Here is a 15,211-nt window from a genome sequence, read left to right as displayed (position 1 = left end):
TCATTACCAACCACCCACTTGAAGAGTGCATTACCATTACTTTAGAAAGCTTTAAAGCACTCTTTCCCAACCTCTTCCCTCTCCCTCTCCCATCAGAGACAACTACTAACTAGATTTTTGTATTCATTATCTCTTTGCTTTTCTCTATAGTTTTAACTTCATGTATTTATATCCTCCTAAATGTATTTAGTTTTGTGTGTTTTGAATGCTATGTAAATTGAGTCATTCTGCATATATTCTTCCACCAGTTGCTTTTTAACTTAACATTTCCTTTCTAAATCTCATCTGTGTAGCTTTTTTTTTGAGATGGAGTCTCGCTCTGTTGCCCAGGCTAGAGTGCAGCAGCACAATCTCAGCTCACTGCAACCTCTGCCTCCCGAGTTCAAGCAATTCTCCCTGCCTCAGCCTCCCAAGTAGCTGGGATTACAGGTGCCCACCAGCATTCCTGGCTAATTTTTGTATTTTTAGTAGAGAGGGGGTTTCACCATGTTGGTCAGGCTGGTCTTGAACTCCTGACCTCAGGTGATCTGTTCGCCTTGGCCTCCCAAAGTGCTGGGATTACAGGCATGGGCCACCACACCCAGCCATCTGTAGCTTTTTTATTTCTTCATTGATGTATTCATTGTGAATACACCACAATTTATTCCATTGTTAATCAACATTTGGTCTGTTTTCAGTTTTTTTTTTTCTCCAATTACAAACAGTGCTGGTATAAACATTCTTTTCCATGCCTCCTAGTAAACAGTGCAAGAATTCCTCTAGGGAATATACCTAGGGGTGAAATTTCTGGGTCAGAGAGTTCAGCTACTTTTTGTATTTACTAAATGATGCCAACTTATTTTCCAAAGTGGTGTAACTACTGCTGCACATTCTCAGTCACATCGGGTATTGTCAGGATTCTTACTTCTTGTGTGTGTGGTAAATATAAAATGGCATCTGATCACTGCTGTTCTAATTTCTCCCCAATTTCTAGTAAGATTGAGCATTTTCCATGTATTTGTTGCCATTTCTTTCTCTTCTGTGAAACACACATGTAACATTTCTGCTCATTCATCAGTTGGATTGTTCATTTTTTTCTTACAGGTTTATAGAGTTCTTTGTATATTCTGGGGCTTAATTCTCTATGTTATGAGTACCTTCTCCCAGTTTCTGACACTTATTTTTTTACTTTCATTACAGTGTCTTTTATTTTTATTTTTTATTTTTTGAGATAGGCTCTCACTCTTGCCCAGGCTGGAGTGCAGTAGCACGATTATGGCTCACTGCAGCCTTGACCTACCAGGCTCAAGCGATCCTCACACCTCAGCCTCCCAAGCAGCTGGGACTACAGGTGTGTACTACCATGCCCAGCTGATTTTTAATTTTTTGTAGAGACGGCATCCTACTGTTTCCCAGGTTGGTCATTACAGTGCATTTTAAGGAACGTAAATTCTTAATTTTAATGTGGTTGATCTCATTTTAAGAATCATTCTATTTATAATATACATATTTAGAAAGTCTTTATAAACTAGGAAGCTATAAAATTATCAATGTATATTAATTTTTGATAAGTTTTGTAATTTTGCTTTTCAAATTTAAGTCTTTAGTACACCAGAAATTGGCTTTTTGTGTGATATAAGAGGTCCAATTTTATTTTTTTAACACATGAGTAATATGTTTTCCCCATAACCACATATTGAAATAATTAATATTTCCTCCAAGTGTCTGCAATGCCAGCTCTAGGAAAAAAAAATTTCTATGCATGTGTGTTATGTTTCTGGATTCTATATTCTGTTGCCCTGGTCCATCTATATGATTTATCCCAATACCACACTATCTTAATTGCTATAGCCCTAGAACAATTGTAATATCTGGAGGACAAGATCTCCTGTAGGGTTCTTCTTTTTGAGTGTCATGTCTTTTCTTGGTCCTTGGCTCTTTCATATTCATTTTGGGATTAGTTGCCAGGGTTCCTGAGAAGCTCATGGAAATTTCTATTAGGATTATATTAAATACATAAAGTCATGTGCCTCCAAGTGTATGTGCTTATATACCTGATAACATTTTGCAGCCAAGTAGATCATATGTAGAACATTATAATTCATCAGATCATTGTGGCATATCAGAGGCAGGGGGTTGGTTTGGCATGGAGTTGCATGAAGTTGGTGCTTCTTTCCCAGCTCCAGTACATCAAAATTTAACAACAATATGGAAAGAGAGTTTATGCTCAAATTGCCATGAACAGAGTTTTCACCTACAAAGGGTTGTTCCAAAATCAGAAGATGTCAGGAATTGCTATTACTATTACATGAGTACAGTGAATTGCTGTTGCAATTCCAGTGAAGTTTGTATTTCTGGTGTGCTTTGTACAAAACATTGCAATCAGACCTGAAAGCAAATGCTATAGAATACAGCAGTCAAAAAAGTCTTTGGTCTTTAGTATGGCTATCCATGTCTTCTTATCCATAAAGAATTTGTAATAATTTTTCAGAACAAAGACTCTTGATCCAATTCAGATGAGAATGTGTGATTATACAAATATGGGTGCAGGATGAACATAAAAAATAGGAAGAATGTAGACTACTCTGCTCTCAGATCAAATTAATATTCCTTTTTTTGCAGTTTAATTAGGCATAAATAAAAAGCCACGTGAAGCCTGGAGATACTGGACATAGCAGATTTGTCAAGCCATTTTTCCCACCACCAGTGCCTGAGCACGACCTCATTTGTCTTGGTCAATGAAGCTCAAGGAAGCATTGCACTTTGGCTTCCGCTTTAAGTTTTGTATGTTGATATGTATCCCATGTCTTCTAACAATAAAGTGCTATTTCACTGACATTAATCACTGTCAAAGGCTTTCTGGTAAATTCTTTAGGCACTCGCCTTGCGGGAAAAGGCATCGGTTTGCCATACCCTAAGAAATGGGCTGTTCATAATGTTGTGTTGTAACTTGATTCTTGTGAGGCATTGGTTGAATAGAATAATAGACCAGAGTCAATGACGATACACAGTGGCTAGCCCTTCAAAGATGGCTCCAAAAATTAATTCTTGTTTTTATTTGCCTACAGTGTCAGTTCAATTGACTAATAATATGACTCTTGGTCATATTAATATGATTAAGAAAAGGTACCACTTTTCAAATAGTCTAGGTGTTTAGTCTAGGTGTTTAATCTAAAATTACATAAGAGTTTCTTGCTGTTTGGGGGTATAGGGTAGCCAGGCAGGATCCTTGCACTTAAGAAACTTAAAATGTAATACATGAAAAAGCAAGTGAACAAAAAAAACCTTGATTATCAATTGGTCAACTGCATTAATTGAGCATCCATTTGAGATAGAGCAGTGGTCTTCAAACTTTTTTGAATGCTTTTCTCCTAAAAGAATTTTTTTTATTATTATTATACTTTAAGCTCTAGGGTACATGTGCACCACATGCAGGTTTGTTACATGTGTATACATGTGCCATGTTGGTGTGCTGCACCTCCTAAAAGAATTTTTAAAAGCTGGACACCTGCTCCTATTTCTGCTGCCAATGTGAAGGTATCAAAAAGAAATTGCCATTGGGGGCTGCTACGCAGGCACAATACGCTATGCTAATTAACGAAGACCGCTTCAGGTAGGATCAAAAAACATGGCTGGTTTATTAGGATGCGAGAAAACTCGGGTTTGTTCCTTTAAATTCTAGAATGATTAAATACTAGTTAACATTTAAATTAAGTGCCTGCATGTGCCAGGTCTTATTGTAAGCACCTTATATGGTTTATGTCATTTAAACGTCACAAAAACCCTATGAATTAGCCTCATTTTATAGAGAACTAAGGTTACTGAAGTTGAAGTAATAGGGAAGCGAGCTCGACCCCAGGCATTTGGCTCCAGAGCCCATATTGACAACCACTGTATTCTCCTAACCCTTTAAAGGCAAAGACTGTCTCTTCTCAGTGCGGTTATCAAAACACTTTTTGCCTGGAACCTAGAGGCATTCTTGAGTCTCTGTTTCCACAAAGATTTGTATGTTTCAGATGGGAAGGGCTGCTCCCATCTGGACGTGGTCTCCAAGGATGTTTTGGGTGTGCTGCATTTTCTTTTCTTTTCTTTTTTTTTTAGACGGAGTCTCACTCTGTTGCCCAGGCTGCAGTGCAGTGGCACGATCTCGGTTCACTGCAATCTCCGCCTCCCGGGTTCAAGCGATTCTCCTGCCTCAGCCTCCTGAGTAGCTGGGATTACAGGCGCCCGCCACCATGCCCGGCTAATTTTTATATGTTTTTCGTAGAGATGGGGTTTCACCATGTTGGCCAGGTTGGTCTCGAACTCCTGACCTCAGGTGATCCGCCCGCCTCGGCCTCCTAAAGTGCTGGGATTACAGGCGTGAGGCACAGTGCCCGGCCGGGTGTGCTGCATTTTCAGCACGTACACCAAGTGTCTCCTCATGGGGCTAATGTGTGGGAGCTGGGAAGCCACAGTTCACTTTCCAGAACCCAAAAGGGGCAAAGTGACATCATAAAATTGTCAGAATGTCCCTTGACACAACCGTACTTGTTTGTCTGCAGCACGGTGTCGAGCCCCTCTTCCCTTCTGGACATGAAGACATTGCCCAGAAGTAACTCTTTAACTTAAGATATCTTTAACGTAAGATAGAATCAAGTTCTTTTTGAAGCAAAAACTGCATAGTCACAGCTGTTACTAGAAAAAAAAAAAAACAACAAGTTCAGAGAATCAAGCACTTGTCCTCGTAGGTTTTGATTACTATTGCCTTTGGGTCAGATTCTCTCATTAGAGTCAAATAAATGTTTTCCATCATGACCAAAAAATGTTTTATACAAATTCCATTTCCCAGAACTCTGTGAATGAAATGGAAACCCCCTTTTCTGGTTGTGGAAAAAAACCAATCCAAAACAAACCCCACAACCTCCCAGCTCCATCTTTCTTAAGTACCCCCTGGTTTTGCTAGGTGGCGCCATAGGCTAATGCATGGGTCTTCCTCGGCTTCCCGGGCGGCCGCCTTCTGTGAGGCAGGAACAAAGGCCTCTGCGGTTCCCTTGGAGTTTAAGATCAGACCAGCCCACAGGAGATGAGATCCATTTGCCAAGACTCGCCTCTGTCGTGTTAGGAGCTGCCCCCTCCCCTCTCCTGATTGATCACAGCTGGTAGTGAGGGGATTCTTGGCCATGTGCTTTAGCCGTTCTTGAGGGAAATTCTGGGGGATCTTAAACTTGATCCTAAATATTGCGTTTCTCTCTATCTAAGTCTCCTAAAAATTGTTCATGTATTTGGGGAGGAAGGCTCACGCTCATACTGAAGAGTGAAAGGAAGGGGACAATAATTCAAAGGCTTGCACCAACTCCCTCCCAATCCCCTGCACAAGGTTAATGTGTGGGGAAATCCCTGTCCTTCCTGAGAGCCCTGATGTTTCCCAGTCTGGCAGGGGCCAGGACAACCTTTCTCCATCCTGCAGGTCACAGAGCCAGCTTGTTGTGGAGGAACAGGAGGCCCTGTTGTAGGAGGGGTGGCACAGGTCCCACAAGCCCTATGGGGTTTGGAGGACACCCAGGCGCCTACTGACTTAGCAAGAGACTCCCCTTTCCCACCCTGCTAGAGGCCTGAAGCTCCAAATTACTGACTTCTTTGCCTTAAAGCATTAGAGACTCCCCGAACACAAATATGACAGAAAAGCTTTACTTGGAAATGTTGGAGGATGAATTGCAAAATGGCACTGCTCGGAGAGATCCCCAGGGAGGAGCTGGTCGTGGACCGGGCGGGGCGGCGAGGGCTGCAGGGAGCAAGAGCAGAACACTGGAGTGGAGGCGACTTCACTGCCTTCGCGCCTCCGGTAGGAACCACGGCTTCCTTCTGCCTGCAGTGTCTGCAGCCTGGGAGTCCCCCAGATCCGTGTGATGGCCAAGGCCGCATGCCCCGGAGAATCTGGATTTCGAATACTGTCCTGATAGCTGCCTAAACACCCACATAGTAGTCCTCCCATGGGTCCTGGTTGGGGTTCAAACACATTCCTACCCTACCCAGCCTTCCCTGAAATCCGCGTCATGCTGAGGGCAGCCCTGACAGTGGCCGCGGGTCCTTGTTGAGGACGCAAGAGGAGGAGGAGCCTCAGCCAGGTGAAAGATCGTCCATATATTCCAAGAAGGAAGCTTCATAAACATGCAAACCTGCACAGCACAGGACACACTAGTAGGAATGCTCTTAACATTGCAAGTCAGAGGACAGATTCCAGAAAATAGAAGGGAGAAAATACATAAGTAATATATAAAAGTCAAAACGGGAAGGAGAAGAGCTTTTAAAAATTGACAAAAAACATATTCATATATAGAGATTATATATTAATGTATATATGAATATATATGACATATATATAGTCACAAGAAGAAAAACACAAAAACTCCAAAATTAGAGCGAGAAGAATCTGGGAATAAAAACATACATATCTATGGATTTTTCATGACTATATTTTGAGTTCACTTCTGATACTCATCCAAAAGATATTTATTTGAGCAATTGTAGGAATGTGTATGATGCCATGTCCATCTCAGTATCTCTGTTTCAACCTTGAGGAATCTATCAGCCCTTCCTGCATTTATCTCTGTCACAGGAACAATGCTTCTTTTGGCAGTAAACATCAGTATACTTAAGTGCCATGAGTCATATTTTCAATTTTTAATTAAATCATGGTCTAGCTAAGGTTTGATTTATTTTGGCCTGAATTAATTTAGACCCTGGTCCACATAAATTTACATAGTTTATTTAATCCAGCTCATGACTGCATAGATTGTAAAATCCCTTAGATAGCTACAGTGTAGATTGTGAAAATCACCCTCTTATCAAGCAAAGAGTGGTAGAATATAATCTCTGGGGGTTGTGGTAACTTCATTCTTAAAACTAGCATCACGAAAGAAATGTGTTGTATTCCTAAATAAAGGCTTTTATGAGATCATCTAAAGATATTGCATCCCATATGTTTTCACTCTAAAAGTTTGAATGATACGGTAAAGCCTCATTAAGTGGTGCCGATGCATGCTTTTTCTTTCTTTCCCAGAATGGTTATAGAAGGTCATAAATCTATATAGTAAGCACCCTGCAAAAAGCTCATCTGCCGCACTCAAATATAGTAAACACTGTTTAAACAGCAGAAGTGTGAGTCATACCGGTATCATTTTCCTAGAATTCTGATAAAAAAGCATCATGGCTAATTAATGTTCCCAAGAAAGGGTCACAGCTTACAGGAAATGAATCGGAAGGTGACAGGAAGAAAGGGTGGGGAGCTCAGAACGCTCTGGCTCAGGATTGTTGGCAAGATCCTTGTTCCTGCAGCCAGGAATTGACAGCAATCATGAGGAAGAGAAGAAATCACGCTGCACATTGAAACTCAGAATTTTTTTTTTGACACGGAGTCTCACACTATCGCCCAAGCTGGAGTGCAGTGGCACGATCTCCACTCACTACAACCTCCGCCTCCTGGGTTCAAGCGATTCTCCTGCATCAGCCTCCCGAGTAGCTGGGATTACAGGCTCCCGCCACCATGCCCGGCTAATTTTTGTATTTTTATTAGAAATGGGGTTTCACCATGTTGGCCAGGCTGGTCTTGAACTCCTGACCTCGTTATCCACCCGCCTTGGCCTCCCAAAGTGCTGGGATTACAGGTGTGAGCCACCACGCCCGGCTGAAACTCAGATTTAACCAGACTGGAAATGCAGGGACAGAGAGACAGAGAGAAGATGGAGAGGAGGGAAGGATGATAGGAGATGATGACCAGAGGGTTGGGGGGTAAAGATTGGGGTTCAGGGGAAAATAGCTGACAGAACAGCATTGAAACCCCCCTCTGCTACTGATTTGGTCTGGGCCCTGCAGTTAAGTTGTTTTTGTGGGTTTGGGGTTTCATGGCACTTCTGAATGTTAAATATGATTGGATGAGCACAGCTGGCAATTCAGCATTCATGACTCAGCTGAACTTGTGACCTATAGCAGGACATCTCGTAACCCTCAGAGGAGAAAGTGAGTCAGATGCATTTTCTGCAAAAACGAAATTTGCCTTGTGGGAAGAAAGAATGCTCCTCATGCATGTGTGTTGGGTGGAGCATAGATGTTTGCCCTGCCTGCCGTCCAGGAGGTGGGGGCTGGGTGGAGGTGGGAGGAGCCGAGACCAGGCCAGCATGGAGGTTCTCAGGCTGCTTTCTTGTCTTCAGCTCATTCTTTATATTGGGTTGCACCCCCTGCATTTCCAAACAAACCATCAGGACACAAGGTCCATCAAAGGATTCTTTTTTCTCACGAATGGGTTGATGAATAGGATACATTTGCAAAGGTCTGAAAATCAAATTAAATTTTCATTACATGCTTAATGAACTTATTTGTCAGACAGAAATCAGTATTCTTCCAGGAAATCTGGAAAGAGTGGGTATCATGCTTCTAGCAATTCCTGAAAATCCTCATGTATTATTAATTTTCCTGGAGGGAGGGACTATGAGAGCCATTGTTGGTTTGCAACACCAAAAGCTTAGCTTTGTCTCAAGAAGGTATACTAAAACTTCTTTCTAAAGATGCTGTCTTGATGTGCCTTATTGCACTTTTGACAGGGGTTTGGGGGTGGGGAGGAGATGACTATTGAATAATCCAGTCAGATGTCTGGTATTGCAAATCCCTAAACCTTGGGGCAATTTGGGCTGATCCCAAGGAATTGGAACACATTAGCAGAACTCTCTTCCCTACTCGGTGCCCGGCAAGGGAACCGATGATCCCATTGTGCATGCAGTGAGAAGAAAAGTTGGGTTTCAGTGAGAATCTAAGTACTGTTTGCCAATCCATCAGCAAACACTGGAAAGTCCCATTTGCATGTGATATTGTTTTTGTAAAAATGATGCCTTCACTGAATGGAAATAAGAAGTCAAGAAAACCTGAGTAATATTTACACTTTATCACAGGAGTTGAGGCTTATGCTCAAAACCCAGCTCCACAACTAACTAGCTGTTTGGGCGTGGACATATCATGTTATTTCTTCGAGTCTCAGTTTCCCAGGGGGACTGGGTTTTTTAATCAGTGCAAGCCTGCTCAGCTCTAAACCATCTTTCAAGCCTTCTAAGTTTCTTTTATTGTATTTTGGATACATCCTGGAAATGCAGGGCAAGTAATTGATTTTTCCAGATCTCCCACTATTGTTTTCAGAGTGTATACAGTAGATATTTTTTGGACAGGGAAGTTACTATATCACCTACATTTTTATGGTAAAAATGTACTTTTAATGATATGAAAAGGTCTCAACCTTTTTGAATGTACATAGGCCACAGAACCAGACTTGGCCCTTGCAGGTTCATCTTAAAGAGTAGACATCATCACTGAAGTAGTGTTGCCAGTAATCTGACAGAAACAACACTAACCTACATCTAACTTAGATCTATGCAGAACAAAAAGGAGTTCTGGGAGGTCTAATATGGGTAAGGATAGTTGGAGAAGGGATGGAGTTAGGCAAGAAAACCTGACAGGAGCCAGGCCAGACCCTCCCTGAGCTGGGAGGATGTGCTTAGGTAAGCAGGCAGCCCCTTTCCTGCTGAAACCTTACTAGTGACCTCTTCTGCTCTCACTGGGGCATGGAAAATGGGAAGGAATGACATTTTCTGCCTTGGTAATTGTTTGTGCATAGATGCTTTATGGCCTAGTAATCTACTAAACAGCTGGTACCATGTCCTGTACTGAATAGAGGGAGATAATCTTCTTAAATTTTGGTTGGATCCCAGCCTCTCTTACCTTTCCTGAAGTTAATATTGCAGTGCCTAAAAAGGCTCTTTTCCCAAGGATTCTGTAAAGTCTAATAGCATTACAGAGCATGGGAGGGGTGATGAAACCAGCCAGCTTGCTCTATTTTACTGCCATAAGTGCAAACCTCTACACCTAGGGGTGTGTGTGTGTGTGTGTGTGTGTGTGTGCACGTGCATATGTATGGGGCAGGGAAGGGAAGGGAGATTATGGGAGAGAGACCTTCCTGGGCATTGGAAAGGTGACTGTGATGGTTAGTTTTATGTGTCAACTTGGAGAGTATTTTTGGATGAATTTAACATTTAATTTGATGAACATTAATAGCAGATTGCCCTCCATAATGAGGGTGGGTCTTAGCCAATTGAAGGCCTGAATAGAACAAAAAGACCAGCCTCCCCGAGCAGGGGTGAATCCTCCTGCAGACCGCCTTTGGACCTCATCTGCACCATCAGCCCTCCTGGGTCCCTAGCCTACCAGTCCACACTATAACAGCCTGCATAACTGTGTGAACCAATTCCTTATAGTAATTCTCTTTATATATGTACAAGTATCTCCATCCCATCGGTAGATCCCCATCCAATAGGTCTGTTTCTCTGGAGAACTCTGACTACTCCAGTCTTTTGTGAACTTCCCTATTTCCTCACTCTTCTCTTCTCTCTTTACATCCTACAGTTGTTTCCCTTAAGTCTTCATCCCCTCTGTTATTGCAGGTGGGGTTCCCTGGGAAGCAGACTCTGAGACAGAGTTAAGAGTACAGGATGTTTATCAGGCAGTGCCCTTGGGATCAACATCTGGGAAAAGGATGGAGCAGAGTAGGATTGGGTTGAAGGAGAAGTAGAACTTCGAAGTGACCAATAGCAACCTCAGCCAACTGCAAGGGGAGCTCTGAAGCTTACATGGCCTGCCAGACCTGTTCCATGCTGGGCTGAAAGGCAGGCCCCAATGTGCCAACCTCAATCAGCCATTAAGTGTGGGCTGCCTGCGGGACAGCAAGCCCTTGGGTCAGGCATCTCTCTGCAGCTAAGACTGACCTGAAGGGCTGGAGGTGAAGGCTGTCCACCACCTGCACCCCTGACAGGTGAGGCAATGGGGCCTTCCTGCATGTGGAAGCTGGGTGGTGCGTCTTTATGTCCACCATACCTTAGTTGGAGACTGTCATCCACCTGTAGACATTTCCCCCATTTTTAAGTACCTGATGATTATCCGGATGCTTAGCTACCCCCAATAAAGACAACAGTTCTCAACCTCTCTTGGAGCTAGGTGCGGCTCTGTGACTCCTTTTTGGGCAATGGAATATTAGCAGAAATGTGTGTGCAGCTTCCACAGCGTATCCTTAAGTGGAAGAGTAGGTGTTTTTCTTCTCTCCTTTTCCTTCTTACTGACTGGGAGACAGATGTAATAACTTGGGCTCCAGCAGCCACTTGGACCATGAAGTTACCTTGGAAATGAAAAGTGTATGTGGCATAAAGTTAGAGAAGACTCTTCGCCCCGTAGATTATTTACCAGCCCAGCTCTGGCTGCCTCTAGACCTCTTGAACATGAGAGAGACGTAATCTTTCTTATTTCAGTCACTCTCACTCAGGAATTTTCTGTTTCTTACAGCTGAAACCAATTCTGATATATAGATAGTCCCTGACTTATGATGGTTTCACTTACAATCTTTGGACCTTAAGAGGGTATGAAAGTGATACATATTCAGTAGAAGGCAATAGGATACTCTCTTTCGATGCTGGGTGGTGCCAGTGAACTGCAGCTCCCAGTCAGCCACGTGATCGCAAGAGTAAACAACCAATGCTCTGCTGTGTACCGTATTCAGTAAGTTACATGAGATATTTGACACTTCATTGTAAAATAGGCTTTGTGTCAGAAGCTTTTGCCCAACTCTAGACTAATGTAAGTGTTCTGAGCACGTTTAACATAAATGAGACTAAGCTATAATGTTCAATAGGTTAGGTGTATCAAATGCATTTTGACTCATGATATTTTCAACTTCATAATGGGTTTATCGGGATGTAACCCCACTATAAATCCAGGATCATCTGTATTATCTCATCGTTCTTCCTCTACTTCTCTTGCTAAGATAAAGCCCACCACTGCATAGAAAAATAATCAAGTCCTACACCATTGGGTTCTTTCTAGTGTCTTGAAACCTCAGTCATCATCTCCAGTGGTCTTTCTCCTTGGCCCATGTCTATTACTCTGGCCTCTGAGACCACTGGCTTGGAGAGGGGGTGGTATACATATAGGACTCAGCTTTGACCAGTGGGAAAGAGTGAAGGGACTTTTACTCTGACCTGTGACTAGTTCTCTCTCTGAATCTCCAAATTTAAAGTCACCTCATATAACAAGGATTAATTTCCTTCTAAATATACCCATTTGATTTGCATGAAAAACTCATATTCCTTCTATTTGCATACATTTGGCTCTATTTCATGCAAACCAGGGCTGAAACCCTTTAGTAGTATTGAAGCCTGTTTTTAGTGCTGTAAACCTTTTGAGAGGGACTCGGCTTCTCCTTGCTCTGGGTTACATTGTCATATTGTATTACCCTCACTGACAATGAAGGGTTTCCACCCAAATGGCTTTCCCCATCCTTAGAGTAAGGGCTGGGGATGGAATAAATTTCACTTTCCTTTGCATTCCAAACCTGGGGGCAACCTGGGCGAAGACTGAGAACTGGGGAGAGTGGAGATAGAAAAAAAAGAGAAAACATTCAGAAGGAGTGGCAGAAAGGCATCCATAACCTATTGTGAAGGACAGTCTCTAAGGTGGCCTCATGATCTTCGCACTGGGATATTCGTGCCCTTATCCCTTCCCTTGAGTGTGGGTGGGCCCTGTGGCTTACTTCTAATCAACAGAATACAGCAAAAGTAATTATATGTAGGTGACCACAATTTATACTCCTACCTCATGAGGAGCCCCCCTCTTCTGCTGCCTTTGAAGAAGAAAGCTGCAGCATCGTGAGCTGCCCATAGAGAGGACGGTGTGGCAAGGAGCTGAGAGTCTGTCTCTGACCAACAGCCAACAAGAAATGGAAGCCCTCAGTCCTGTAACTGCAAGGAACTGAATGCTGCCAGCAACCTGAAAGAGCTCAGAACTGGGTTCTTTTACAGTTAAGACTGCCACCCCAACTAACACCTTGATTGCGGCCTTATGAGATCCTAGGTAGAGGATCCCTGACCCATGGAAACTGTGAGATAATAAATGTGTGCTGTTTTAAGCTAGTAAACTTCTGGTAATATTGCTACACAACAGTAGATAATTAATACATCCATAATAAGGACTTTGGCCTTAGAAAGGGAAAGGAAATTCAAATTTGTTTGATGAAGACTTTTGAGAGCAAAATAACTGTTCTCTGGAAGACTGGGGTGGTGAGAACAACGCTTTGCTGTATGCTGTGCTAACAATTTTTAAGTGAGAAAAGGGAGAGAAAGGGAATAGTTGATCTCTTAGAGTGGGGGGTTGAAGCCAAACAAAAATCTATATTTTATAAAAATGACCAGCATGGGTTTGAATCATCGTGCTAGAGGAGGTGGAGGCTGTGGTGCTGGTGGTGAGATGTTAGAGAAATTTCTGCCCTCAAATTTGTGGGTGGCAGGTGACAGACACCAGGATGCTTCACAGGCCAGAGCTTCTGAGATGGGTCCCATCTGGTTCCATGGGCTCTGTGTCAGAAGGCCTGTGCTTGAGTCCCAGATCTACTGCACATTAACTGTGTCATCTTGGCCAAATGACTGCATCTCTCCAGATCTTAGTTTCCACATCTGTAAAGCGGGGTTAATTATAGTACAGGTTAATAGGATTATTGTGTTGGGTCAATGAGGTAATGCATGAGAAGTGTCCAGCCTGGCACATAGTGAAGGCCTAACCAATGAGAGCTTTAAAAAATTAACGATTGGATGAGGAGTAAAAAAATAATGTGGACAAGTTGAGGCTTTCCAAGTACTTGTAGTGTTTGGGAAAAAATTGGGAGCAAATTACCTCTTTGCATTGACATTACCCATCAAGGTGTCAGGATTGTTGGAGCCAGTGATTTTCTTCCTTGGCTGTATATTAAAATTACCTGGGGTGATTTAGAATGTATTGATGCTTGGGCCCTGCCTCTGGAGATTCTGATTTAATTGGTCTGGGTGTAGCTTGGGCATCAGGACTTTGAAAAATTCCCCAGGTGACGCTAATGTGCAATCATGCTTGAGAATCACTGCTTTGGCCCTTTATCTGTTTCTTAATAGTGGCCCCTGATTGTTTCAGGTGTCTTTGTTTTGTTTACCCAGCTAGATGGCAAGTCCTTGTGGGCTCGCCTGTGTGTTATCCTTTGTGGGCTGGCAGAGTAAGAGGCATAGGGAACCAGAGGCCAAAGAGCTTGAGTTCTCCATCTGGTTTTTCCTAACTGGCTGTGGGGCCCATGGCCAGGGTCATGATCTGATTGAACATGTGCTATGCACTAGACACTTCTCCAAGTACTTTGCTTGCATCAGTTCATTTATTCCATCAGCCCGATAAACTGGTTCTATTATTAGCCTCAGAGCTAATAATAACACAGAGAAGTTAAGTAACTTGCCCAGGGTCACACCACTGTGCTTCTGACTATGAGTGCAGGAAGCCTGAGCTCCCACCAAGACCCACTCCACCCTCGGCCTGACATGAGGCTGGTCTCAACTCTATTCATCTCCAGTGAGGAGCTAGATTGTCCTTGAGTCCCTCCCAGCTCTAATGTTTACAGTTCTGCTGCCCCCGCCAGCACCTAGCAGAGACATCACATAGTGGGTGGTCTGGTGCTATGTACTCGGAGACCGATTGTTAAATCAAGGAATTGATTTCAGACTACAACGAGCACAACAGAACAAAGAGGGCAGACAGTTGGAAGCCACGACCTGGGAGGGTGGCTCTGCGTGGAAAGATGACCAGGTGAAAGGGATGACGTAAGAGGAACGTTTGTGCATCCCTTTGTGCTTTTGGCCCTTGGGTTAGCTGAGTGAATGGGCAGAGGGATGTGTCAAAGTCAGCCAAAGGCTACTTTCACTGAGGATGTGGAAAGCTGACTATCCCTGCATAAAAGAAGTGTCAGGAATTTGGGCAAGTCAAGCCTAAGAGCTAGAGAAAAGATGAAAAAGCCTCTGGAGTGGGTGTGACCCAAAAAGTAAAAAATAATTCTACATGACTGGAATTTTCCACGGCCACTGGATGTTAGGCCGGTAATGTCTGACGTTCAATTTTAAGTTGATGCCTGTGCTGTTCTGTGTGGTAATAATCCTTCATTAGCACTAAAATATCCGTGAAAGTCTGTTGCACACACAGTCTTTTGTTAGTGGTGCTTTGAGGGAATGAAGTAATAGGAATGGCGTTGGTAACGGAGAAAAATAATGAGGAAGACAGATGATGCTTGCAGGAGATAGCACAGAGAGCAGAGACAAAACATTTAGGAGAAGCAGGAAGAGGTGTCAGTGGAAATATGAGTCCCTCAGGAATCCTCAGATGT

At 43.0% G+C, this 15,211-nt stretch overlaps 1 long non-coding RNA gene across 2 annotated transcripts in view, besides 1 other annotated feature; it reads left to right on the top strand.

Annotated features, from left to right (window-relative positions):
• The window catches only part of OSMR-DT (OSMR divergent transcript), a 152,617-nt gene that overhangs the window by 30,904 nt on the left and 106,502 nt on the right, over nt 1-15,211 (top strand). The window contains exons 2-3 of one of the 2 annotated variants that reach the window (NR_171676.1): nt 1,215-1,330; nt 2,602-2,821. The exons of the other annotated variant lie outside the window; for it this stretch is intronic. This is a non-coding gene — a long non-coding RNA (OSMR divergent transcript). Of the gene's footprint in view, nt 1-1,214; nt 1,331-2,601; nt 2,822-15,211 lie in introns of those variants that run through there. 2 annotated transcript variants of the gene reach the window in all.
• Nucleotides 3,851-4,351: an enhancer, noted in NCBI's record as "H3K27ac hESC enhancer chr5:38810677-38811177 (GRCh37/hg19 assembly coordinates)". NCBI's record gives its function as "activates a minimal SCP1, AML or CMV promoter by ChIP-STARR-seq in primed H9 embryonic stem cells {active_cell/tissue: H9 hESC(primed)}" and the evidence as "EXISTENCE:reporter gene assay evidence [ECO:0000049][PMID:30033119]".

This window comes from Homo sapiens, chromosome 5 (genome assembly GCF_000001405.40).
Source record: "Homo sapiens chromosome 5, GRCh38.p14 Primary Assembly".
Classification (NCBI taxonomy): Eukaryota; Metazoa; Chordata; class Mammalia; order Primates; family Hominidae; genus Homo; species Homo sapiens.
This window is presented reverse-complemented; position numbering and strand designations above follow the sequence as displayed.